This window comes from Homo sapiens, chromosome 5 (genome assembly GCF_000001405.40).
Source record: "Homo sapiens chromosome 5, GRCh38.p14 Primary Assembly".
Taxonomy (NCBI): Eukaryota; Metazoa; Chordata; class Mammalia; order Primates; family Hominidae; genus Homo; species Homo sapiens.
The window spans coordinates 179,921,860-179,947,632 of record NC_000005.10 but is presented as its reverse complement, the minus strand read 5'-3'; the positions used below and the strand labels follow the sequence as shown (position 1 = coordinate 179,947,632).

Genomic DNA, 25,773 nt, shown 5'->3' with positions numbered 1-25,773 from the left:
TATTAACTCCGTTTTACAGATGAGGAAACAGGCTTGGAGAAATCCAGTAACTTGCCAAGGTTGCCCTGCTGGTAAGTAGCAGAGGCTGGATTTCAACACATAAGCTGGCCCCCAGGGTCTGTGTTCCAAACCCCATTCTATTTGCCTCTTAGAGAAGCTCACCAAGTGTCAGGGGCAGGCTGTGGGGTGTCCTGACCAGTGGCCCCTAGTGTGCAGAGCATGATAGTAGAAAAGGCCAGGAAGTGTGCTGGGCTTGATTTAGGACACAGGTGGGGTGGGTGAGAGACGTGTCCTAGGGCTGGATGGTGATGTTACAGGGCACGGACTTTACTGTGGGCAGCAGTCAGGAGGCCCATGCATTTTGGAAGGTGGCATCTGAATGCAGACTGGTCCTGAAAATAATAAAATAGTGGGGTTACTAAAGATAGAATTGCTAGTTTAAACTGTTTTAATGTAGAAACTGCCTCACCAAACCAGGAGGCAAGAATGGTGAAGACAGTTGTGTCAGTGATGAGAAGATTCTAGAAACCCAGGTATGGAGACTTCCGTGAAGAATTCATTCAGTACAGTAGGGTTGCGTCAGTGTGCACTTGTGCACACTCAACAGTGCATCCTCAGGGAGAGAGGTGTTGAGATCCTGTAAGGAGAGTACTTTATTTGCCAAGGAGTTGAAAAAACAGGTAGAAATAACGGGAGCTAGGGTGGCAACCGGCCCTGAGATCAGCCCGAGGCTAAAGAAAGATAAAGGCAAACCCAGCTGATGAAAAGATCCCCTATGGTGCTGGGCGCGGTGGCTGACGTCTGTAATCCCAGCACTTTGGGAGGCCGAGGCTGGTGGATCACGAGGTCAGGAGATCGAGACCATCCTGGCTAACACGGTGAAGCCCCGTCTCTACTAAAAATACAAAAAAATTAGCCGGGCGTGGTGGCGGGCGCCTGTAGTCCCAGCTACTCGGGAGGCTGAGGCAGGAGAATGGCGTGAACCCGGGAGGCGGAGCTTGCAGTGAGCCAAGATCACACCACTGCACTCCAGCCTGGGCGACAGAGCGAGACTCCGTCTCAAAAAAAAAAAAAAAAATCCCCGGTGGGTGTGCTGTACTGGTCGGTCTGTTAAGACTAAGAAGAACGCTAGTACATTTGTAGAAATTATCCACTTTCTTTACTCTTGTTTCTTTACCTTAAAGTTTTTTTTATAAAAGTCCCTTTTAAGGGAAATGTCCATTGTCTTGCCTGACCAAAGGCAAGCATTTTGAAACGGGGTTTCTCACCGTGGGTCAGGAGGGGGGCCTGACGCGGGCCCTCCCTGTGGGGGCTTCTTTCCTCCTGACCACACACAGACCCCGCGCGGCTATGGCAGGAACAGCCTAGACACATGGACAGTGAAGAGTCACTCAGAATTCGGACGCACGAATGCTTGCTTGCTTTTCAGATCCAGAAAAGTGAGTTTCCAGCATGGGCCTTTGGTCACATACTTACCGTAACTGTAGGGGGTTGCACCCTAGGAGCTTGGGGCTTATAAATACAAGAAACAGTATCGCCCAAATGGCATTTGAAAAGTCCCTTGGAGGACAGCGAAACGCTGATGGGAAGCACAGGGGAACTGAGACTTGCTGAAGGAACGTCAGTCATATGCTTCTGTCACTCACAGCTGGGCAGATGCGGCCGTGGGGAGTGATAGGCAGAATCGCCCCCGCCCCCATTTAAATATCCCTGCCCCCGCCTTTTTCCCTCCGGGCATTTATTGTTGAGTGGGTATAAATGCATGCAGCTCAGGCTCCCACACTCTTCGGGCTGGAATCCCATCTGGAAGCGTGCATGCACTGCCCAGGACAGATGACAGAGTTTCCTGCAGCGGCGCGTAGTATTTAGGTTCCTGCCGAGGCCGGACACCGCTCATAAGCTTAGGGCAAAGCAAATTGAATTTCCATTGTCCCTCTGGAGTCTGTCACCTGCACCTCCGATACATTCAACACACAAGCCAGCATCCTCTCAGTGCTTTGTATTGATTTGATCTGCACCTTAGACTGTCCACCGCGGTGTGAGTCCTGCTTGACCTCTCCCAGCCTCTGTTTTCTCACCAGTGGAATAAAAGTCACTGTAACAGCAACGTAGCACTGTGAGGATTGGAAACATGGTGTGTGTGAAAGTACCCGGCGTTTAGTGTTGCTCAGCAATGTTTTCTCTTTCCTTGTATGAAAAGATGAACTGCTCATCAGAGCCCTTTTTAGCACTGATGATAGGAACGCCTTGCTCAGGTACCACTCAGCCCAGAAAAGCCCCCGCCGCTGAGGTTTTGCAGCTGATCTGTGCAGCGTTTGGGTCCATTGGGTCCCACTGTTTTCCCAGGTGCAGTCAGCACACCCTGCAGGGTGTGGGACTGAGCCTTGCTCATCGTAGTGGAGGGAAAGGGGTCACAGGTGTGGGCGAGAACTCCTGCAGCCCTTAGGAAGGCCCAGCCTCACCTCCAGTGGCCGTTCCTGTTTCATATGAAAGCCTTATGTGAAAATACTAGTCAGTTATCACTTTATTTTTTTAACCATGTTGGCCAAACTGGTCTTGAACTCCTGGCCTCAAGCGATCCACCCGCCTTGGCCTCCCAAAGTGGCTGGGATTATAGGCGTGAGCCACCCCACCTGGCCCAGTTATAACTTTCAACAGGTGCAGATACCATTAAGCCCAAGGCATTAGTGATAAAATAAAGCTTTGCCACGTGTGAGCAAATATATGTGCCTTATCTGGAAACAGGGCCTGCTGTCATGCTAGAAATAATGCAGAGAAATTAGGAGGAAAGGGGACTAGCAGGGGTAGGAGCCCCTTTCACAGAGCCAGACACGTTACCCCTGTAGCCCTACTCCATGTGAACTTTTTTTTTTTTTGAGACAGGGTCTCACTTTATCACCCAGGCTGGAGTGGTGTGATCATGGTTCACTGCAGCCTCAAACTCTGGGACTCAAGAGATCCTCCCACCTCAGCCCCCTGAGGAACTGGGGGACTGTCTCTACAAAATTCAAAAAAAAAATTTAGCCAGGCATGGTGGCTTGCAAGGAGGCTGAGGCAGGAGAAATTGCTTGAACCCGGAAGGTGGAGGTTGCAGTGAGCCAAGATTGTGGCACTGCACTCCAGCCTGGGCGGCAGAGCAAGACTCCATCTCAAAAAATAAAAAATAAAAAATAAATTGAGAAAATTGGAGCGTTAATTCCGTTAAGGAGATATAAAATATAGATCTGTACATAATTGTTAAGTCAATTATAGGAACACAATGAAGTTTCCATCATGAAAATCTTAAAACTTGTCAGATCCTTTAGTTATTTAATTTATTGGAAATAGCACTGAACACTTAGGACTTAAAATTTATTAGAAATAAGGCTGGGTGCGGTGGCTCACGCCTGTAATCCCAACACTTTGGGAGGCCAAGGCAGGCAGATCACGAGGTCAGGAGTTCGAGACCAGCCTGGCCAATATGGTGAACCCCCCCGTCTCTACTAAAAATACAAAAAGCTAGGCATGGTGGCAGGCACCTGTAGTCCCAGCTACTCGGGAGGCTGAGGCAGGAGAATTGCTTGAACCCAGGAGGCGGAGGTTGCAGTGAGCCAAGATCGCGCCGTTGCACTCCAGCCTGGGTGACAGAGCAAGACTCCGTCTCAAAAAAAAAAAAAAATTTCTCAGAAATAAAGAGAAGTGGTTAGTTACATGGGACCTTTGTAAAGACCTTGAGAAGTTTTTAATTTTAATTACATTTCTATTGCCTTAGAAAAAGTGTATTTTCTCATTTATGTTGCCATTTCTTGAGCAGCATAAGCTCTTAAATCAGTCAACATGTTGCAACTCAGGAATTTTAATCACTGTTAAATATACTTTGCGGTTTAATCATAGCTGCAATCTAAGTTACTTATGAGAATATAAGGCTGAAAGATAACTTGGCTTTGGGTTCAGTTTTACCTGGATTCTAGTTTTAGCTTTATGATTTTGAGTAAGTTATTTTATCTCTCTGAGCCTCACCTTTTCTGTGTATGAAATAATGACACATCTATCTTGCAGGCAGGTTGTTGTGAAAGTATACATGTTACGCCTTTTCCTCTTTATCCCCTTTTTCTTCTAGTTTGAAATTGTTTTAAATTGTTTTTCTGAATAAGTAATAAGTGCACATGGCAAAAAATAAAAATAGTAAAACTGATTACAGTTTAAATAGTAAAAAAGGTTGGAAGGTAGAAAGTCCACGTCAGGCCCTCCCTGATCCCAGTGTCCCAGACCTCTCCTGGCAGTCTCTGTTGTCTGTGCCTTGTGTGTACACTTCCAAAGAGATTTTGTGTCTGTATGAGCATATGATGGTTTCACACACATTCCCCAACAAAATCCCTCCCACACAGTCATAAAACCAGTCACCTATTGGTCAGTGACCTGTCCATTTTCCTTTAGCCCAAAGGAAGACTTTTTTTCTTTGAGACAGTGTCTCGCTCTGTCCCAGGCTGGAGTGCAGTGGCGCGATCTCAGCTCACTGCAACCTCTGCCTCTCTGGTTGAAGCAATTCTCCTACCTCAGCCTCCTGAGTAGCTGGGACTACAGGCACGTGCCACCACGCCCAACTAATTTTTGTGTTTTTAGTAGAGACGGTGTTTCACCATGTTGGCCAGGATGGTCTCGATCTCTTGACCTCATGATCCACCCTCCTCGGCCTCTCAAATTGCTGGGATTACAGGCCTGAGCCACGGCACCCAGCCAGAAGAAAAGACATTTTTGAGGCTCTTCTGTCAAACAAAAAGCCCTATCTTATATCCACAGGAGAGAGTTACACATAACTGGAAATATGTCACCCATAGCAGCAAATTCGCAGAGGATGTTCTAAGAAACATTACAGCATCTCTGAAGAAAACATCACATATTTGAAGTCCAGAAGTCTCAGAAAGGGACTTCACAAATGTACTCTAATGATTACAGTTTAAACAGCTAAGGCTTAGGCTTTCAGTCTTCATAGTAACCTGAAAATTTTCTCCTAAATGGCTTTGCTGTATAGAATTCTGTTCTCTTTTTGCATCCGCATCAACAATTCCCTTTAAAATGTCTAAAATTCTTTCTTACTCAAGGTTGCAGTTTCAAGGCTCAGCTGGGCTTCCACTTACTATTTTCTAGAACTTAATCCAAAAACAGTTACTTAAATTCGAGACTAAGAACATATAATACTATAGATTTTCCAAAAAGAGCATACGGACCATATATTCTTTTTTTCCAAAATTTGGAGATTTTTCCACATCAGTGCATACAGATCTGTCTGCCTCAGTCTCTTTAATATTGATAAATGCATTGTATATTGAATCAGTCCTCAACTGATGAGTGTTTCAGTTATTTAAAACCTTTGTAATCTTCATTAAAGCCGTCTAACTACCATAACTGATGGTACAGAAATAACAACTGCTGGTTAATTTTCAGCTTCTTCATTGTTTCTTGGTGCCAGTGCCCTCTTTATTTCATACTGAGATGGTTCTAAGTGAAACCTATTTGGACACAAATTAGTGACTCTAATTAGAATAGTGTACATCCCACTCAACTCAATTTAATGGAATATTTATTGGCATGATGTGAAGAAACTGAAATAAACTGTATCAGAGTTGTGCCCATGGGGAGTTTATGGTCTTATTGAGAAAGAAAGACATAAAACAGCAAATAGGATAACAGACATAATGAGATTCTTATGTTTTACAGAGACTTGCAGAATGTACTTCTCTATTTCATTTTTTAAATTCCGTTAATCAGTTTCAGTATTCTATTAAGCCTCATTAAGGAAACTCTAAGCCACTGGTAATAAGTTTATCAGGTTTCTCTTTCTGGTAATGTCAGACTAGCTTGTTGTGGTGCAACCATCATATCAAGAAGAACTAGAAATATGGAAAAAGTATTTTTAAAACATTTTATTTTAAGAAATTAAAGAGCTATCAGTGCAGTGATGACTTGAGGAGAAAAGATCCTAGAGAAGAGGGAGGTACAGAGATATGAATCCAGTATTCAACACTACTTTTTTTCTTGTGGCATCTGCCAGTTCATAAGCAGTGACTAGAAAGTGATGGCCCAAAGACCGAGAGAGAAGGAGAGCTCAAGCAGTCTTATTGGGCTTGTGAGATGAAACTCGGAATTCATGGGCCACCAAGCAGAAAGAACCCCGATAACCATCCCAGGCCTTCCATTGGGATCCCCAAAGGGCTACAGCCTGGAACTGGAGGTTGAACCAGAATTTGACTCATCTCAAAGACAGAAGCCCAACTGTGAATCTGTTCAATCTCTAATTAGATTAAAGTGATATGCCCATATTCTAAAAGTGATACGTCACTTCCAGAGGCAATGGGAAGTCCTCTAGAGAAAGGTCACCATCAGCAACGTCAAATTATCTCTGTTTCTTGTATACATGTCCAGCAATCCATTAAAAACCAACCAAACGAAGCAGGCAAGCCAGGAGATAAGACCAAATGACCAAAAAGGAGAAAAAACAAAGAACAGAAATAGATCCACAAGAAATCTAACTATTAGAAATACAAGAACAGACTTTTAAAATAATTAAGTATGTTCAGGAAACCAATGACCAATAAGTGGAAATAACAAAATCAAAAGGAAATGCGAGGACTGAAAAATAATTGAAAGGAAGAACTCAATAGAGAGTTTAACATCAACTTAAACACAGCTAAGAGAGGATTCATGAACTGGAATGCAGGTCAGGAGAGACTATCTGAGCTGAAGCAAAAAAATAAAATGAGAAGAAAAATACAGAAAAAGGCATGAGTCTTTAGATGATGAAAAAATTAATATACATGTAATTCAAGTCATAGAAGGAGAGAAGACAGAGAATGGGGCAGAAGCAGTATTTGAAGAGATAATGACACAATTTTTCAAACCTGACAAAAGACATCAAACTGCAGATTAAAGAAGGACTGGGAACACCAAGCAGAGTGAAAAAAAAACCACACCAAGACATATCACAGTAAGTTATTTTAAGAAGCACAGAAAAACTTAAAGGCAGAGAAAAAGATACTTTATCTCAATTTTTAAAGTTTTTAAAATTGAGATGAAATTCTCATAACATAAAAGTAACCATTTGAAAGTGAACAATTTGGGCCGGGCACAGTGGCTCATGCCTGTAATCCCAGCACTTTGGGAGGCCAAAGCGGGAGGATCATGAAGTCAGGAGTTCGAGACCAGCCTGGCAAAAGAGACCAGCCTGGCCAACATGGTGAAACCCCATCTCTACTAAAAATATAAAAATTAGTTGGGTGTGGTGCCGGGCACCTGTAATCCCAGCTACTCAGGATGCTGAGGCAGGAGAACCGCTTGAACCTGGGAAGCGGAAGTTGCAGTGAGCCGAGATCGCACCCCAGCCTGGGTGACAGAGCGAGACTCCAACTCAAAAAAAAAAAAGAAAAAAAAGAAAGTGAACAATTCAGGAAAGTGAGGAGCCACTGCCAGTGCCACCACCTGCACCCTTGCCCATTCCAACCGTCTGTTAAGCACAGCGGTCACTATGAAGGTCCAGGTGTGCAGACATGCCTGGTCTGAGGATATTAAAACAGCATGTTGGAGAATGACACCGATGTGGCACCCAGATAAAAGTCCTGAGACTAAAGAAGAAGCAGAGAGAAAATTCAGATGAGCAGTGGAGGCATATGAGGCGCTGCTGTCTGATGCTAGAAAAAAAAAAAAGGGACGTTTATGACAAAGAAGGATTAGACAGAGGAAGGAGGTGGAATGCATTTTGACATCCGTTTGAGGTTGATTCACCCTCCATAACTCAGATGATGTCTTCAGGGAATTTTTGGTGGGAGGGACCCATTTTCATTCAACTTCTTTGAAGACCCATTTGAGGACTTTTTTGGGAATCAAAGGAGTCGCCAAGGGAGGGGGTCGTTTTTCTCCGCTTTCAGTGGATTTCCGTCTTTTGGAAGTGGATTTTCTTCTTTTGATGAAGATTTTCTTCATTTGGATCACTAGGTCACAGGGCCTCACTTCATTCTCTTCCACGTCATTTGTGGTAGTGGAATGGCAACTTCAAATCTATATCAACTTCTACTAGAAATGGTTAACGGCAGAAACATCACTAAAAAGAGTTGTTGGGAATGGCGGAGAAAGGGTAGAAATGGGAGAAGACGGCCAGCATAAGGAGCAGCTGCTGCGCTTGCATGCAAAGTCATCGAACAAAAACGTTCAGCTACAGAAGCACCATCTGAGGGTTAACAGGAACATTTTTTTGAATATTTCAAATGAACTCAACTATTGGTAGAATTGTACCTGAAGTATTGATAAACAACTCACAGAGCCCCTATTTGTCATAAACTTTTGAGTTTATTGTTAGGACCACATAATAGGACCACTTTTTTTCTGTCTTAAAAGTTGTTATAAATCTCTGTATGCACTTTTATTTATTTATTTATTTATTTTTGAGACAGAGTCTTGCTCTGTATCCCAGGCTGGAGTGCAGTGGCGCGACCTCAGCTCACTGCAACCTCTGCCTCCCGAGTTCAAGCGATTCTCCTGCCTCAGCCCCCCAAGCAGCTGGGACTAAACATGCCCGGCTAATTTTTGTATTTTTAGTAGAGATGGGGTCTCACCATGTTGGCCAGGCTGGTCTTGAACTCCTGACCTCAGGTGATCTGCCCACCTCAGCCTCGCAAAGTTTTGGGCATTATAGGCGTGAGCTGCTGTGCCCGGCCTGTGTATGCACTTTTGATCCTTGACTCTTTAGTGGTAGGACAAGATTGTACCCTAACGCCAGCATGAATCGGCTTTTCCATTTTGTCTGAAATGTGAGCCATGTGGTGTCAGCCTGCTGTGAAGTTAACATTGCCAGGGTGAGTCTTCTACAGAAATAATTGCAAGGTTTTCAGTAGTTAGTAGTGAAAGGTATTAATGCAATAATGATAATATATTTCTGGTTTAATATAAATTAAGGATGTTTTCTAATTGTGCATGAATGCTGGCAACTTAATTTTGACAATTATTTAAATATATAATGTTAAGCTTAGGTTTTAAAATGTAAAGCTGGTAAACTAGGTCTTTGTTATATGCCTAAAAAAAGAAGAGAAATGAGAATGTGTTTGGTGAAAATAAATGAATAAGTAAGTGAACAATTTAGTGACATTTAGTATATTCACAGTGGGGTGTAACCACTACCCTCTCTAGCTCCAAAACGTTTTCATCACCCCAAAAAGAAACCCCCTACTCATTAAGCAGTTGCTCCCCATTCTGCAATCCCCCCGGCCCCTGACAACTACCAATCTGTGTCCTGTCCCCATGATATACCTGTTCTGGTGCTTCATATGAATTGAATCATGCAAAGTATGTGACCTTTTGTGTTTGGCCTCTTTCACTTACCATAATGTTTTCAAGATTCATTGAAAGGGTTGGGCGCGGTGACTCGTGCCTGTGATCCCAGTACTTTGAGAGGCCAAGGAGGGTGGATTGCTTGAGCACAGGAGTTCAAGACCAACCTGGGCAACGTGGCAAAACCCCATCTCTACAAAAAAATACAAAAATTAGCCAGACGTGGTGCCGCGTACCTGTAGTCCCAGCTACTCGGGAGGCTGAGGTGGGAGGATCACTTGAGCCCGGGAGTCTGGGTTGTGGAGCTGTGATCATGCCACTGCACTCTAGCCTAGGTGACAGAGTGAGACCCTGTCTGTCTCTGTCTCTCTCTCTCTCTCTCTCTCTCTCTCTCTCTCTCTCACACACACACACACACACACACACACACAGATTCATTGAAAGCATATGTCAACACTTCATTTTTTTTATGGCTGAATAACAGTGCATTGTATGTCTACACCACAATTTGTTCATCTCCTCATCCACTGATGGACATTTGGGCTGTTTCCACCTTTTAACCATGATGAACAATACTGTGAACATTGGTTTGCAGGAATCTGTTTGCATCCTTGTTTTCAATTCTTTGGGTTATATACCTAGCAGTGGAATTGCTGGGTCATAGAATTCTAGTTTAACTTTTTGAGGAGCCTCCAAACTCTTTTACACAATGGCTAAACCATTTTACATTCCTGCCAACAATGTATAAGGGTTCTGATTTGCTACCTCCTTGCCAACACTTGTTATCCCCCCTCCTTTTTTAAAATTATAGCCATTTCTAATGAGTGTGAATGGCATTTCATCATGGTTTTGATTTGCATTTCCCTAATGCCTAGTGATGCTGAGCATCTTTTTACGTGCATTAAGTTAGCCACTCATACATCTTCTTTGGAGAATTGTCTGTTAAGTCCTTTGCCCATTTTTTAATCAGGTTGTCTTTTGCTGTTGAGTTGTAAGAGTTTCTTTATACATTCCAGATACTAGGCCCTTATCAGATACGTGATTTACAAATGTTTTCTCCATTCTATAAGTTGTGTATTCGTTTTCTTGATAGCATCTTTCAAAGCACAAGTCTTTCGTTTTGATGATATTTCGTTTTGATGATATTTCGTTTTGATGATACTTCGTTTTGATGATATTTCGTTTTGATGATATTTCGTTTTGATGATATTTCGTTTTGATGATATTTCGTTTTAATGATATCCAATTTGTCTGTTTTTTCATTGGTTGCTTATGCTTTAGGTGTCAAAGCTAAGAAACCATTGACAAATTGGTGGTCGCAAAAACTTCCATCGGTTTTATACTTTTAGAACTCACATTTAGGTATTTGATCCATTTTGAGTTAATATTTTTGTATGGTGTGAAGTAGGGTCCAACGCCATTTTTTTGCATGTGGATATCCAGTTTTCTCAATACCATTTCTTGAAGAGACTGTTCTTTCCCCCACTGAGTGGTCTTGGAACCCTTGGCCATAGATGTATGAGTTTATTTCTGGACTCTCAATTTTATTCCATTAATCTGTATGTCTGTGTTTATGGCAGTACCATGCTGCCTTGTTTACTGTAATTTTATAGTAGTCTTAGAATTGGGAAGTTTGAGTCTTCCAGCTTTGTTTTTCCTTTTTCAATAAAGAGATGCTTTACTTTAAAGTAGCAATGAAAGGCTAACGGTTGGTATCTTGACAGAAACCAGAAAATAGTAAAGTATTGGGAGGAAAAATATCTGCCAACCTAAACATCTAGTGGGGAAAGCCATTGAAAATAAAGTTGGCTAGGTGTGGTGGCTCACACCTGTAATCCCAGCACTTTGGGAGGCTAAGACAGGAGGATTGCTTGAGCTCAGGCGTTCAAGACAAGCCTGGGCAACATGATGAGAACCCGTCTCTACAAAAAAAATTAAAATATAAAATATTAGCCAGCATGGGTCCAGCAGTTTGGGAGTCTGAGGCAGGAGGATCACTTGAGCTCAGGAGTTCAAGACCAGCCTGGGCAACATAGCAAGACCCTGTCTCTACAAAAAATTTTTTTTAATTACCTGTAGTCCCAGCTGCTCAGAGGCTGAGGCCTCAGATTGCTTGAGCCCAGGAGGTCAAGGCTGTGGTGAGCCATGATCGTGCCTCTGCACTCCAGCCTGGGTGACAGAGCGAGACCCTGTCTCAAGATAAGAGAAAAGAAAGATGAAATAAGACATTTTCCAGCAAACAGAAATACTAAGAGCTAGTTTTTCAGGCAGAAGGAAGAGGATTCCAGATGGAAACACGGAGATGCAGGAAGAGTAAAGAGCAGAAAGGAGACACATGTGGGTAACCTAAGTGCTGCTCGATGTGTGAGACGCTGATACTCATCCCTTGTGGAGACCGCTTGACATCAACTGCACAAAAGATGGGAGGGGACAAGTGAGGTAAAACTGCTCTAACATGCTTGCATTGTCCAGGAAGGAGTCAAAGTACTCATTTATATTAGGTTCTAATAAATCAAGGATACGTGTCATAATCCAGGGTAACAACTAAAAAAAAAGTAAAATGATCTCTAGGCCAGCATAGCCACTAAAAGCATTATAAAATAATAATATAATACACTAATAGAGAGAAAACTGTAATAACAAAAAGTCATCCAAAAGAAGAGGAAAAAACTTAGAGGAGAGGACTATAGGACCAGCGAGCCAAGCAGAAAATGAGTAATGTAATTATGGATTTAAGTCCCAACATGTTAGTAATGAATAGAAATGGATAATTAAATACTCAAAGATAGATTTAAAATGTATACACACACACACACACACGTGCTGACATATCTTTAATGAAAAGAAACAAATGTTGAAAGTCAGATGATAGAAAATAAAATGAAAGTAAAATGATAGAGCATCAGACAGATGCTCCCCAGGGATCTAGAAGATTTGAATGTCACAATTAACAGACAAGATGTAATTAACATATATATTTATATAGCCCTCATCAACTACAGGGTATATATTTTTTTAAGTACACATAGATTATTTACTAAGATAGACTTATATGCTGGATGATAAATTTCAATAAATTTAGCAAATTTCAACTAATATTTAAGGATTGAAATCTGTAGAGTATGTTTTCTGACCAGCGGAATTAAGTTATAAATCAATAACAAAAAGATAATTAGAATGATCCCCAAATGTTTGGAATTAAACAATATACTTCCAAAAGAAAAAGTCATGAATCAAAGAAGAAATCGCAGTGGAAATTATTTTAAAATGTTTCATTGAATGCTCATAGAAGTATGACATATCAAAACTTACGTAATTCAGCTAAAGCCATGCTAGAGGGAAATCTGCGACCTTAAATCTCGAAAGCCTAGCGAAAAGTTCGAAGCATTTGTCTCAAAGAACAACAAACTAAATCAAAGGAAGGAAATAAAGATCTTACCTAAATTCAATGGAAAACAAATATACAATAGAAAAAAAATCAACCAAGCCGAGCATGGTAGCTCATGCCTGTAATCCTGGAATTACGTGACCCGGGAGGCTGAGGCATGGAGGATCACATTAAGCCAGGAGTTTGAGACCAGCTTGGGCAACATAGCAAGAAAAATCTCTACAAGAATAAAAATAAAGTAGCCGGATGTGGTGGCGCACACCTGTGGTCTGGCTACTTGGGAGGCTGAGGCAGCAGGATCACTTGAACCCATAAGTTCGCAGTGAGCCATGATGATCTTGCCACTGTACTCCAGCCTGGGCAACAGAGTCAGACCCTGTCCCCACCACCAAAAAAAAAAAAAAAAAGGAAAGAAAAGAAATCAACCAAACACGAAGTTGTTCCTTTAAAATGACGAATAAAATTAACAGGTTTCTGCTGATCAAGAAAGAAGACCCAAATGACCATTATCAGGAATGAAAAGAGACATCACTGCAAAGCCTACAGACATTAAAAATAATCATAAGGTGCAAAGAAGTAGAGTGCAGAGGAGCGATTACCAGGGGGTTATTTAATGGGTGTAGAGTTTCAGATTTGCAAGATGAAAAAGTTCTGGAGATGCATTTCACAATAATGTAAATATATTTACCACGACTGAACCGTATACTTTAAAATGATTGAGCTCTTCCCACCACCTTTCCATGCCGCCAGGCTGCTATGCGCCAACGTCGAGGCTGCTGCTCTCAAGAGCATCCACAATGTCTAAAGGAGAGGCAAACACCAGGTTCTTATTAGGCCGTGCTTCAAAGTCGTCTTCCGGTTTCTAACTGCGGTGATGAAGCATGATTCCACTGGCAAATCTGAAATCTGATCGTCACAGAGCTGGGAACACTGTTGTGAGCTTCACAGGCAGGTTAAACAAGTGTGCCATAATCAGCCCCAACTTGGAGGTGCAGCTCAAAGATCTAGAAAAAATGGCAGAACAGTCTGCTCCCATTCTGACAGTTTGGATTCATTTTACTAACAACCTCAGCTGGCAACATGGACCATGAAGAAGCAAGACAAAAACACACAGGAGGGAAAATCCTGGGATTCTTTATCTAGTGATGTAATACATACTTAAAATTAAAATGCTGCCTAGGTGAATCGCTTGCGCCTAAGAGTTCGAGACCAGCCTGGGCAACATGGTGAAATTCCATCTCTACAAAAAGTAGAAAAAATTAGCCCGGCATGGTGGAGCGTGACTGTGGTCTCAGCTACTCGGGAGGCTGAGGCAGGAGAATCACCTGAGCCCGGGAAGTCAAGAGTGCAGTGAGCCATGATTGCACCACTGCACTCCAGCCTGGGCAACAGAGGAGATCATGTCTCAAAAAAAAAAAAAGTTTTAAATTAAAAAGTAAAATAAAATGCCTCAATGGACAAAAACCACAATAAATAAATAGAAATGGTTGAGATGGCAAATTTTATATGCTTTTTACCACACACTCACACACACACACACACACACACAAATAGGGTTATGAGAACATTGTTAGTAAATTCTGAAAATAAATTGATGATTTTGAAAAATACAAAGTACCAAAATTGATACAGGAAGAAATAGGACACCTAAATTCTCCTACATCTAGGTAATAAATTGAATCCATAGTTTAAAATATTTCCTCAAAGAAAAACTCTGGGCCTAGATGATTTCATTGGTGAATTCTTTTTAACTTTTGAGGGAAAAAGTAGCACCAGTCTTCCACAAATTTGTCCTGAGACTAGAAAAAGAGGAGAACTTCCCAAGTCCTTCTGTGGATCTTGCAAATCTGAAACTCTATACCCATTAAATAACACCCTGGTAATCGCTCCTCTGCGCTCTATTTCTTTGTACCTTATGATTATTTTTAATGTCTGTAGGCTTTGCAGTGATGTCTTTTTCATTCCTGATAATGGTCATTTTGGTCTTCTTTCTTGATCAGCAGAAACCTGTTAATTTGATTTGATACCAAATTATTACAAGGGCATTACAAGAAAGAAAATTACAGGTTAATTTCTTTTGTGAATACAGATGTAAATTTTTTGTGTATTTTTGAAACCAAGTCTCACTCTGTTGCCCAGGCTGGAGTGCAGTGGTACAATCTCAGCTTACTGCAATCCCCGCCTCCCAGGTTCAAGTGATTCTCCTGCCTCAGCCTCCCAAGTAGCTGGGATTACAGATGTGCCACCACGCCTGGCTAATTTTTGTATTTTTAGTAGAGACAGGGTTTCACCATGTTGGCCAGGCTGGTCTTGATCTCCTGACCTCAGGTGATCCATCCATCTCGGCCTCCCAAACAGACGTAAATGTTTTAAGAAAATATTAGCTAAGGCCGGGCGTGGTGGCTCACACTTGTAATCCCAGCACTTTGGAAGGCTGAGGCGGGCGGATCATTTGAGGTCAGGAGTTTGAGACCAGCCTGACCAATATGGTGAAACCCCGTCTCTACTAAAAATACAGAAAAATCAGCCGGGAGTGGTGGCGCATGTCTGTAGTCCCAGCTACTCAGGAGGCTGAGGGAGGAGAATCGCTTGAACCTGGGAGGTGGAGGTTTCAGTGAGCTGAGATTGCACCACTGCACTCCAGCCTAGGCAACAGGGCGAGACTCCCTCTCAAATAAAAGACATTTGTATTAAAGGTCTTGAAATGAAGAGACAATGATTAAACACATGGAACTTAAAATTACAATTAGAATTGGTACAACAGTAAAATTTTGCTCTTTGCTTCTGAAGGAACACCCTATAACAGGTAACTTTAAATTTTTTTAATGGTACAAAAGGGGAGCTAAATACCTGAAATTTTAACTAAAGTGAAACAAAGAAAAGGAAACAAATTTATTGCAAGAGATGGAAATTACATTTTAAAGGCTGCAAATAATAAAGAAATTTACTACACAGCAGACCCCTATTGTCTTGGCTCCTTCAGAAAGATGACTCAAAGGAAAACTGGGAAGTGGTTTGGGGGATAGCAGATCTGGGATATGGCGGGAAGTTCACAGGTTGGCACTGGCTGGGACAGCTGAGTTTTGAAGGTACTCTACAGTCACGGGGGTGCTGGGGGGCCTGAATCACAGTTACAAAGTCTTTGTACTGTAGTTTTGTTGTTTGTTTGTTTTAAGACAGAGTCTGGCTCTGTCGCCCAGGCTGGAGTGCAGTGGCACCATCTCAGCTCACTGCAACCTCCGCCTCCCAGGTTCAAGCAATTCTCCTGCCTCAGCCTCCCGAGTAGCTGGGATTGGGATTACAGGCAGGCACCACCACGCCCGGCTAATTTTTTCTATTTTAGTAGAGACATAGTTTCACTATTTTGGCCAGGCTGGTCCCGAACTCCTGACCTCAGGTGATCCGCCCACCTCGGCCCCCCAAAGTGCTGGGATTACAGGCATGAGCCACTGCGCCTGGCCTGTACTGTAGTTTAAACAGTGATTCATTAAAATCTGTTACTGCCAACAAAAAAGAAAAAAAACAAAAAACAAAAAAGCTACACTTAAAGCACACACACAAAAGAACACAGAAAATGTGCAGAACTGTAATATGTTTTCACAGCTGATTAAAAACAAATACTACCATTGTCCCTAGACTCCCCTTTGATACAATAGGTAAACAAAATGGACTTTGTGTGATTCATTTTGACATTTCTGGCACCCCACACTGTATCGCCATCAGTGTTACAGTCCCAGTTCAGATGTGCGGTACTTCAGGCGGGAAACACTGTCACAGGAATCCAGCTTTGCGTGGACGTCATCAAAATGCCAATCAGTCATGCGGTCACCATGTTTTTATCTTAATAGGTACAAAAAAAGCATTTGCTAAAATTCAACACCTATTCTTGATTTTTTTTTTTTTTTTTTTTTTTTTGAGACAGAGGTTTGGTCTGCAGCCCAGGCTGGAGAGCAGTGGTGCAATCTCAGCTCACTGCAACCTCTGCCTCCTGGGTTCTCATGCCTCAGCCTCCCCAGTAGCTGGAACTACAGTCATGCATCACCACGCCCAGCTACTTTTTTTTGTAATTTTAGTAGAGACCGGGTTTTGTTATGTTTACTGGGCTGGTCTTGAACTCCTGGCCTCAAGTGATCCACCCACCTTGGCCTCCCAAAGTGCTGGGATTACAGGCATGAGCCACCACGCCCAGCCTCCATTCTTGATTTTAAAAGAAAAGAACTTTTAGCAAACTAGGAAAAACAGAGTGCTTCCTTAATCTAATAATGGATATTTTCAAAACTACAGCAAACATTATACTTATCAGTGAAATATTAAAAACTTTTTCCCTAAGATTGTAAATAAGGTTATCTGCTGTCACTGTCTCTTTCAACATTATATTGGCAGTGTTAGCCATTACCATATGGCAAGAAAAAGAAATAAAAGGTGTAAGGATTAGAAAGGAAGAATGAAACTGTCACTCTTCACAGAGAAAACGATTACATGTAGAAAATTCAATATATTCTACAAATCAGCTCTTAAAATGAGTAAGTAAATTTAACAGGATCAATTATATTTCTATAGACTAACAATAAGCAATTTAAAATGAAATTTTTGGCCGGGTGCAGTGGCTCATGCCTGTAATCCTAGCACTCTGGGAGGCCAAGGCGGGCAGATCACGAGGTCAGGAGTTCGAGATCAGCCTGACCAACGTGGTGAAACCCCATCTCTACTAAAAATACAAAAATTAGCCGGGTGTGGTGGCAGATGCCTGTAATCCCAGCTACTCGGGAGGCTGAGGCAGGAGAATCGCTTGAACCCGGGGGGCAGAGGTCGCAGTGAGCCAAGATCACGCCATTGCACTCTAGCCTGGGCGACAAGAGTAAGACTCCATCTCAAAAAATAAATAAAAGATAAATAAATAAAATGAAATTTTCAAAAAAGATAACATTTACAAAAGCATCAAAGAAACATCATACTGAGGAATATATGTAAGAGAAGATACGCAAGGCTTTTATACAGAGAACAATTATGTGTTATCGAGAGAAATTAAAGATGACCTAAGTGAATATAACAGGCTGAAATGAGTGACACGATACTATGGAGGTGTTAGCTCTCCCCAAAGTGACTTATAGACTTACTGTGATTTCGGTCACACCCCAGTGGGTGGGTGTGGGTGTGTGTATTGAAACTGGACCAATTGATCCTAGAATTTTTTTTTTTTGAGACACAGTCTCACTCTGTCACCCAGGCTGGAGTGCAGTGGCACAATCATGGCTCACTGCAGCCTTGACCTCCCAGGCTCAAGTGATCCTCCCACCTCAGCCTCCTGAATAGCTGGGACTACAGGCATGCACCCCCATGCCCAGCTAATTTTTGTATTTTTTGTAGAGATGGGATTTTGCCATGTTGCCCAGGCTGGTCTCAAACTCCTGGGCTCAAGCAGTCCTCCCACCTTGGCCTCCTAAAGTGCTGAGATTACAGGTGTGAGCCACCACGCCCAGCCTGATCCTAGAATTTACGTGGAAATGGAAAGAGCTAAGAATAACAAGAACATTTTGAAGAATAATAAAGCAAAAGGACTTAGATACTGGAAATCAAGACTTTTGACAAAGCCACAGTAATTAAGACAGTAAGGTATCGATGCAAGGATGGACAGACAGCAGAACAAAATAGAGTTCTGAAACAGCCGTGCATGTACAGACACTTGGCTCATGACAGAGGTGGCACTGCACAAGCCGTGGGGTAAGAATGGTCTTTTCAAGATGGTGCTGGCTCCACTGAATATTTATAAAGAAAGAAATGAATCTTAATTCCTACTTCACACTATACTGAAAAATTGACTTGAAATGGATGATAGACCTAAATGCAAAAGGTAAAACCATGAAGCTTCTAAAAAATAAGATAAAATGTCATCAAAACCTTCAGATAGGCAAAGACTTCTTCAACTGGACTGAAAAAGCCCTAACCATAAAATAAAAGTTAGATAATTTGTTCCACACTAAAATTAAGAAATTTTGCTCATCAAAATACAGTTTTGGATGGCCAGGTGCGGTGGCTCACGCCTGTAATCCCAGCACTTTGGGAGGCCGAGGCAGGGGGATCACGAGATCAGGAGATTGAGACCATCCTGGCTAACACGGTTGAAACCCCGTCTCTACTAAAAATACAAAAAATTAGCCAGGCGTGGTGGTGGGCGCCTGTAGTCCCAGCTACTCGGGAGGCTGAGGCAGGAGAATGGCATGAACCCAGGAGGCGGGGCTTGCAGTGAGCCGAGATCGCACCACTGCACTCCAGCCTGGGTGATAGAGCGAGACTCCGTCTCAAAAAAAAAAAAAAACAACAACAATTAAAAAAATACAGTTTTGGAAGAAGGTACCTGCAATGCTTAACTCACAAAGGACTCACAGTCACAATAAAGGAGAAGAAGACTGACAACCTGATGGGAAAATGAGCAAAAGAAACAAAGAGACATTTCAGAGCGAACCAGATACACAAACAGCCTGCAAATGTATGAAAAGTGTTCATCCTTTTTGGTCATTTGGGGAATGGACGTTAAAACATAGTGAAATGCCGTGTATACACCTGCTGGAATGCTAAAATGAAAAAAAAAAACAAAATATCCATTATTGGCACAGAAAGAGAGCCACTGGAATTCTCATTTACTGGTGGGAGTCAAAGTTGGCACAGCCACTTTGGAACATGGCCAGTGTCTGCTGACGCTGAAAATATGCACACCTAAGACCCAGCAATCCCACTCCCAGGCATCATCCGAGGGAAAGGCATGTCCATGTGTACAAAAGATAACTCACAGAAACAAGTGTCCCTAACAGCAAGATTCAGAGAGCCTCCAGAGGAAACAATGCAAATGCCTGTCCGTAAAGATTAGACCAATCAATTGTGTGGTGGCCAGACAGTGGAACATGATGCGGCGGTGAAAAGGAAGGAACTGTTGCTATATTCCCTGAGGCGGATGGATGTTGCAACATAAATGTCAGACATTTGTGTGTCAGACAGAGTCTAGACACAAAAGAATATATTCCCTGTTTCCATTTATATAAAATTAAAAATAGACAAAGCTAGGCCGGGCATGGTGGCTCACACTTGTAATCCCAGCACTTTGGGAAGCCAAGGCGGGTGGATCATGAGGTCAGGAGATCGAGACCATCCTGGCTAACATGGTGAAAGCCTATCTCTACTAAAAATACAAAAAAAAAATTAGCCAGGCGTGGTGGCGGGCACCTGTAGTCCCATACTCAGGAGACTGAGGCAGGAGAATTGCTTGAACCTGGGAGGCAGAGCTTGCGGTGAGCCAAGATCAAGCCACTACAGTCCAGCCTGGGCGACAGAGTGAGACTCCATCTCAAAAAAAAAAAAAAAAAAAAGACAAAGCTAAACTGTGTGGGAGAAGTCTGGATTATGGTTTCCTTTGGCGGGGGAGAGAGGACATAGTGATTGGGCGGTCACTGGAGGGACTTGTAGGGCGCTGGTAGTATTCTATTCTTGATCCAGTGATTATTTTGTAGGTATATTCTCTTTGTGGAAATTCATTGAACTGGATACTTATGATTTGTGCACATATCTGTATGTAGGTTATGCCTCAATTAAGAGTTTACTTAATAACATTATGTAGCCAATAACAAAGATAATAATTAGTTGACCAGTACACATCTGGTGTATTTCCAGGTGTCAAAAATTATGTGTGCTTTCTTGGCAAAGCCAGACTCATACCTTCCTCTGAAATTCAGCTGCTTGTGCATTCCTCTGTTTGCATTATATTTTTCTCAAGAAAACTGGTTAGCAATGTAGATTACTGACTTAAGTTCTGACCCATTTTCTTATTGCCAAAGATTTGGTATCAGCTGATGACTACCCTAACAAAAAAGATTCGGTCATTTCCACTTCTGACGGTGACTAGAAAAAGCAAACTGTTTTTCCTCTGTTCTCACCCCATAACAGTCAACACAGAAGACTTCCGTGACCAACAGTCAGTGGTGGGGGCAGTGTCGAGTGGGGCGAGGGGGCCCCCACACACGAAGTAAGCAAGCAGTTCTGAGGCAGATGCCAACTGGGTGTCCCTCAATTCAATTCAGTTCCAACGCTGTCTACCTGGAAATGGCATCAGGTCCCCCAGGGTGAGGGCTCAGTCCCACAAGACTGTCTCCACGTCCAATGCCCAGCGCAAGCCCAAGTGTTCAACCCATGCTTCTGACCAACTGGCTATGAGTCAGGGTGCCCACCGCCCCCTCCTTAGGTTTGGTTAATTTGCTACAGCAGCTCACACAACTCTGAGATTTTTATTTATTTATTTATTTTATTTTTTTGAGATGGAGTCTTGTTCTGTCGCCCAGGCTGGAGTGCAATGGCGCTATCTCGGCTCACTGCCACCTCCACCTCCCTGGTTCAAGCAATTCCCCTGCTCAGCCTCCCGAGTAACTGGGATTACAGGCATGCGCCACCACACCCGGCTAATTTTTTTTGTATTTTTAATAGAGACAGGGTTTCACCATGTTGGCCAGACTGGTCTCAAACTCCTGATCTCAGGTGATCCGCCTGCCTCGGCCTCCCAAAGTGCTGGGATTATAGGCATGAGCCACCGCACCCGGCCTGAGATTTATTATGAAGGATATTGCAAAGGATACAGATGAAGAGACGTGTCAGAAAAAGGAAAATTCAAAAGAAAATTTTAACAGTGGCCCATGATGGCTGTAGTCGGGCACATGAATAATAAATCCTAGGCCTATAAATAAAGCTGACCTCTTGCCTGTATGACTGGAGTTTACGTAGTTCACTGACAGGCACTAGTCGTAAACCCATTTATCAGAGGTAGAACAAAGACAGGATGGAATTGGTCAACCCCTACCAGACCCTAAGTTGCCTAGCCTTTCTCCCACCCCACACAAGTGCACATTTACCTTATCGTATGGGTAGCGTCACTGAGCACCAATCAGAATCACAAGAATGGAAAGCTGCTTCCCTGCCTCGCCTCTGCTGCTCCCCCTTTCCGTGCCACATGCATCCCCCTGTTGGAAAATGTATGTCTACTGTGCCTCATGCAGCCTCCTTTGAGGCACGTTCTCCGTCTATATGGAGTCTGTGTTCTGGGCCTACGTCTTCCAACTTGGCTCAGAATAAACCCAGCCAGGTGTGGTGACTCACGTAGGTAATCCCAGCACTTTAGGAGGCCAAGGTGGGAGGATGGCTTAAGCCCAGGGATTTGAAACCAGCCTGGTCAACCTAACAAGACCCTGGCTCTACAAAAGAAACATTTCAAAATTAGCCAGGCTTGGTGGCATGTACCTGTAGTCCCAGTTTCTGGGAAGGCTGAGGCAAGACAATTGCTTGAGCCCAGGAGGTTGACGCTGCAGTGAGCTAGGATCGCACCACTGCACACTCCAGCTTGGGCAACAGAGTGAGAGCACCTCAAAAAGAAGAAAATAATAAAATAAATAAATAAATAAATGAAAAAACAGAAGAAACCCAGCCATGCTTCTCTAGTTCCAATGCCTGTTATTTCTCTTTTTGGTTGACAGATGCGTAGGGCAAGGCATGTGAGAAGCAGCTTGGAGTTCAGTGCCCTCCCCTACCGGTACCTCTACGTGTTTAGCTATCCCCGAAGTATCCCAGTCCCAATCTTTTGGGTTTTTATGGAGGCTTCATTACGTGGGCATGACTGATTAAACTGTTGGCCATGGGCGATCAACTTAACTTTCAGCCCCTCTCCGCTCCCTGGAGGCTGGGGGGTGAGGCTGAAAGTCCCAGGCCTCTAGTCCTGCCTTGGTCCTTCTGGTGACCAGCCCCATCCCGGAGCTACCTGGGGGCTGCCCGCCTTCACCCACCTCTTTAGCATATGAAAGATACCACTGTGGAGATTCTGAGGATTCTAGCAGTTGTAGGCCAGGAAGCCCGGATAAAAACCAAATACACTTTTCACAATATGGCAGATAGCTTTAATTCATCCTGAAGAGAGGAAACTCCCCTGTCATCAGCTCTTTGTTTTTCATCTTCCTCCCTTAGTGCTGTTGGATTGTGCTGATGCTTCTGGGGGCTGAGGATCCTTTGTCAGAAATGAAATAGCTCATATTTTATGTGGGACCTTGCTCTTAGAGGGCTACTGTGGATAGATAGGAAGCATTTTTGAATTGATCCCATTTTAAATTTTTTATTTATATTTAATTTTTTTTTGAGATAGCCTCACTCTGTCACCCAGGGTGGAGTGCAGTGGCACCATCTTGGCTCACTGCAACCTCCACCTCCCAGGTTTAAGCAATTCTCCTGCCTTAGCCTCCTGTGTAGCTGGGATTACAGGCACCCGCCACCATGCCTGGCTAATTTTTATATTTTTAATTCACCATGTTGGCCAGGCTGGTCTCGAACTCCTCCTGACCTCAGGTGATCCACCCACCTCGGCCTCCCAAAGTGCTGGGATTACAGGCATGAGCCACTGCGCCCAGCCTGTATTTATTTTTTTTTTTTTCAGACAGAGTTTTGCTCTGTTGCGCAGGCTGGAGTGCAATGGCACAATCTCAGCTCACCGCAACCTCCGCCTCCTGGGTTCAAGTGATTTTCCTGCCTCAGCCTCCCGAGTAGCTGGGATTACAGCCATGCGCCACCATGTCTGGCTAATTTTGTGTTTTTAGTAGAGACAGGGTTTCTCCATGTTGGTCAGGCTGGTCTCGCACTCCCAACCTCAGGTGATCCACCCGCCTTAGCCTCCCAAAGTGCTGGGATTACAGGCGTGAGCCACCACGCCCAGCAGTAATTTTTATTTATTAAAAAAAAAAAATTGTTTAGGGACAGGGTCTCACTGTGTTGCCCAGGCTGGACTTGAACTCCCGGGCTCAAGCGATCCTCCCACCTCAGCCTCCCTAGTAGCTGGGATTACAGATACTGACCATCAAGCTGGACTTCATGCCAATTTTTTAAATGCAGAAGACTTTTAATATAGAAAAGTTAAGAAAACAGAGGTTGCCCTGCAGCTCATGAGCTAGCACTGAAATGCTTTCATTTAATACTCGTCTGTTGAGTAATCTGCTGAGATTATATGCGCAAACCTCCGTGCCCATCAAGTTCGAGAATTTCTAATCCTAATTTCAAGACCTGTAAAGCTACAGTAATCAAGACAATATGGTGTTAGTGTTGTTAAAAGAAAAACTTTAGGGAAACTAAATTTAACAGAGTTTAATTGAGCAAGAGTGATTGAAGAATTGGGCAGCCCCCAGGACCGAAATAGGTTCAAAGCAACTCCAGGGCTGCACCGTGGTTGGATTTATGGACAGAAAAAGGGAAGTGAGGTACAGGAAAGGGAAGTGAGGTACAGAACCAGCTGGATGGGTGAAGCTCAGCCTTTGCCTCACTGAACACGCTTTGCACTGTTGGCCACCTGTGATTGGCTGAAACTCAGCCGCTGGGATTGGCTGAGACTCAGCTCCTTGGTACAAGAATCGGTTACAGTCTGTCACACATCCATTTAGGTGACAGTTCACTGTGTATGGAGAAACCTTTAGGCCGAACTTAAAATATATAAGGAAGCAGTTTAGTCTAAATTTAATTTAACAGCATAAAGACAGACAAATGGATTGCTAGAACAGAATAGTGCCCAGAAATAGACCCACACATTTACAATCAATAGATTTTCCATAAAGGTGCCAAGACAGTTCAGTGGGGGAAAGGATAATCTTTTAAACAATCGACGACGGAACAATTGGATATCCATATGCAAAAAAAAAAATGAACTTCAACTCTTATTTTCTGCCATTTTCAAAGATTTACTTGAAGTGGACCATCTAAGTGTGAGAACTAAAACTATAAAGCTTCTAGATGAACATGTACGAGAAAATCTTAGTGACCTTGGGATTCTTAAATCTGACACAAAAAGCACAAACTATAATAGGAAAAAATCAATAAATTTGATCTTACCAAAATTTGAAACTTTTAATCTTCAAAAGACATTGTTATAACAATGTCAAGGCAAGTCACAGACTGGGAGGAAATATTTGCAAAATGTATGTCTGGCAAGACTTGTATCGAGGATTATTATTATTATTTTTTTTTCTGTAGCACAGGCTGGAGGGCAGTAGTGTAGTCTCGGCTCACTGCAGCCTCTGCTTCCCGGACTCAAGCGATCCTCCCACCTCTGCCTCCCAAGTAGCTGGGACTACAGGTGCTCACCACCACACCTGGCTACTTTTTGTATTTTTAGTAGAGATGGGGTTTCACCATGTTGCCTAGGCTAGTCTTGAACTCCTGAGCTGAAGCCATCTGGCTCAGCCTCCCAAAGTGCTGGGATTACAGGCATGAGCCACTGTGCCCGGCCTAGAATTTTTTTTAAACCCTCATACTTGATAACACGAAGACAGCCCAAGCCGGGCGTGGTGGTTTGTGCCTATAATCCCAGCACTTTGGGAGGCTGATGCAGATCGCTTGAGCTCAGGAGTTCGAGACCAGCCTGGCCAACATGGTGAAACCCCATCTCTATTAAAAATACAAAAATTAGCTGGGCATTGTGGCCCACGCCTGTAATCTCAGCTACTTAGGAGGCTGAGGCACAAGAATCTCTTGAACCCAGGAGGTGGAGGTTGCAGTGAGCCGAGATGGCGCCATTGCACACCAGCCTGGGCAACAGGGCAAGACTCTGTCTCAAAAAAAATTAAAAAAAGAAATTTTTTTTAAAAGCCCAGTTTTTTTAATGGACTAAAGATTTGAACAAAACACTTCACAAACGAAGATACACGGTTGGCTAATAAGCCCATGAAAAGATGCTCAACGTCACTAGTCATCAGAGAATGCAAATTAAAACCACAATGAGAAGCTCCTACACTCCTGCTAGAATGCCTAAACTTTTCCAAGACTGACCATGTCAAGTGTTTGTGAGTATGAAAAGGAGCTGAGACTACCATAGGCTGCCGGTAGGGCCATCTTTTTTTTTCTTTTTCCTTTTTTTTCTTTTTTCAGACGGAGTCTCACTCTGTCACACAGTCTGGAGTGCGGTGGTGCAATCTCCGCTCACTGCAACCTCCGCCTCCTGGGTTCAAGTGATTCTCCTGCCTCAGCCTCCCGAGTAGCTGGATTACAGGCACCTGCCACCATGCCTGGCTAATTTTTTGTATTTT

The 25,773-nt window shown here is 43.1% G+C and overlaps 1 protein-coding gene and 2 pseudogenes across 1 annotated transcript in view, besides 1 other annotated feature; all 3 read left to right on the top strand.

Moving 5' to 3' along the window:
• The window catches only part of RNF130 (ring finger protein 130), a 160,109-nt gene that overhangs the window by 124,127 nt on the left and 10,209 nt on the right, over positions 1–25,773 (top strand). The window lies entirely within an intron of this gene.
• LOC101060066 (dnaJ homolog subfamily B member 6-like) lies at positions 1,060–8,383 on the top strand (annotated as a pseudogene).
• On the top strand, positions 13,407–13,858 carry RPS15AP18 (ribosomal protein S15a pseudogene 18; annotated as a pseudogene).
• Positions 21,382–21,882: an enhancer, noted in NCBI's record as "H3K27ac hESC enhancer chr5:179352751-179353251 (GRCh37/hg19 assembly coordinates)". NCBI's record gives its function as "activates a minimal SCP1, AML or CMV promoter by ChIP-STARR-seq in naive H9 embryonic stem cells {active_cell/tissue: H9 hESC(naive)}" and the evidence as "EXISTENCE:reporter gene assay evidence [ECO:0000049][PMID:30033119]".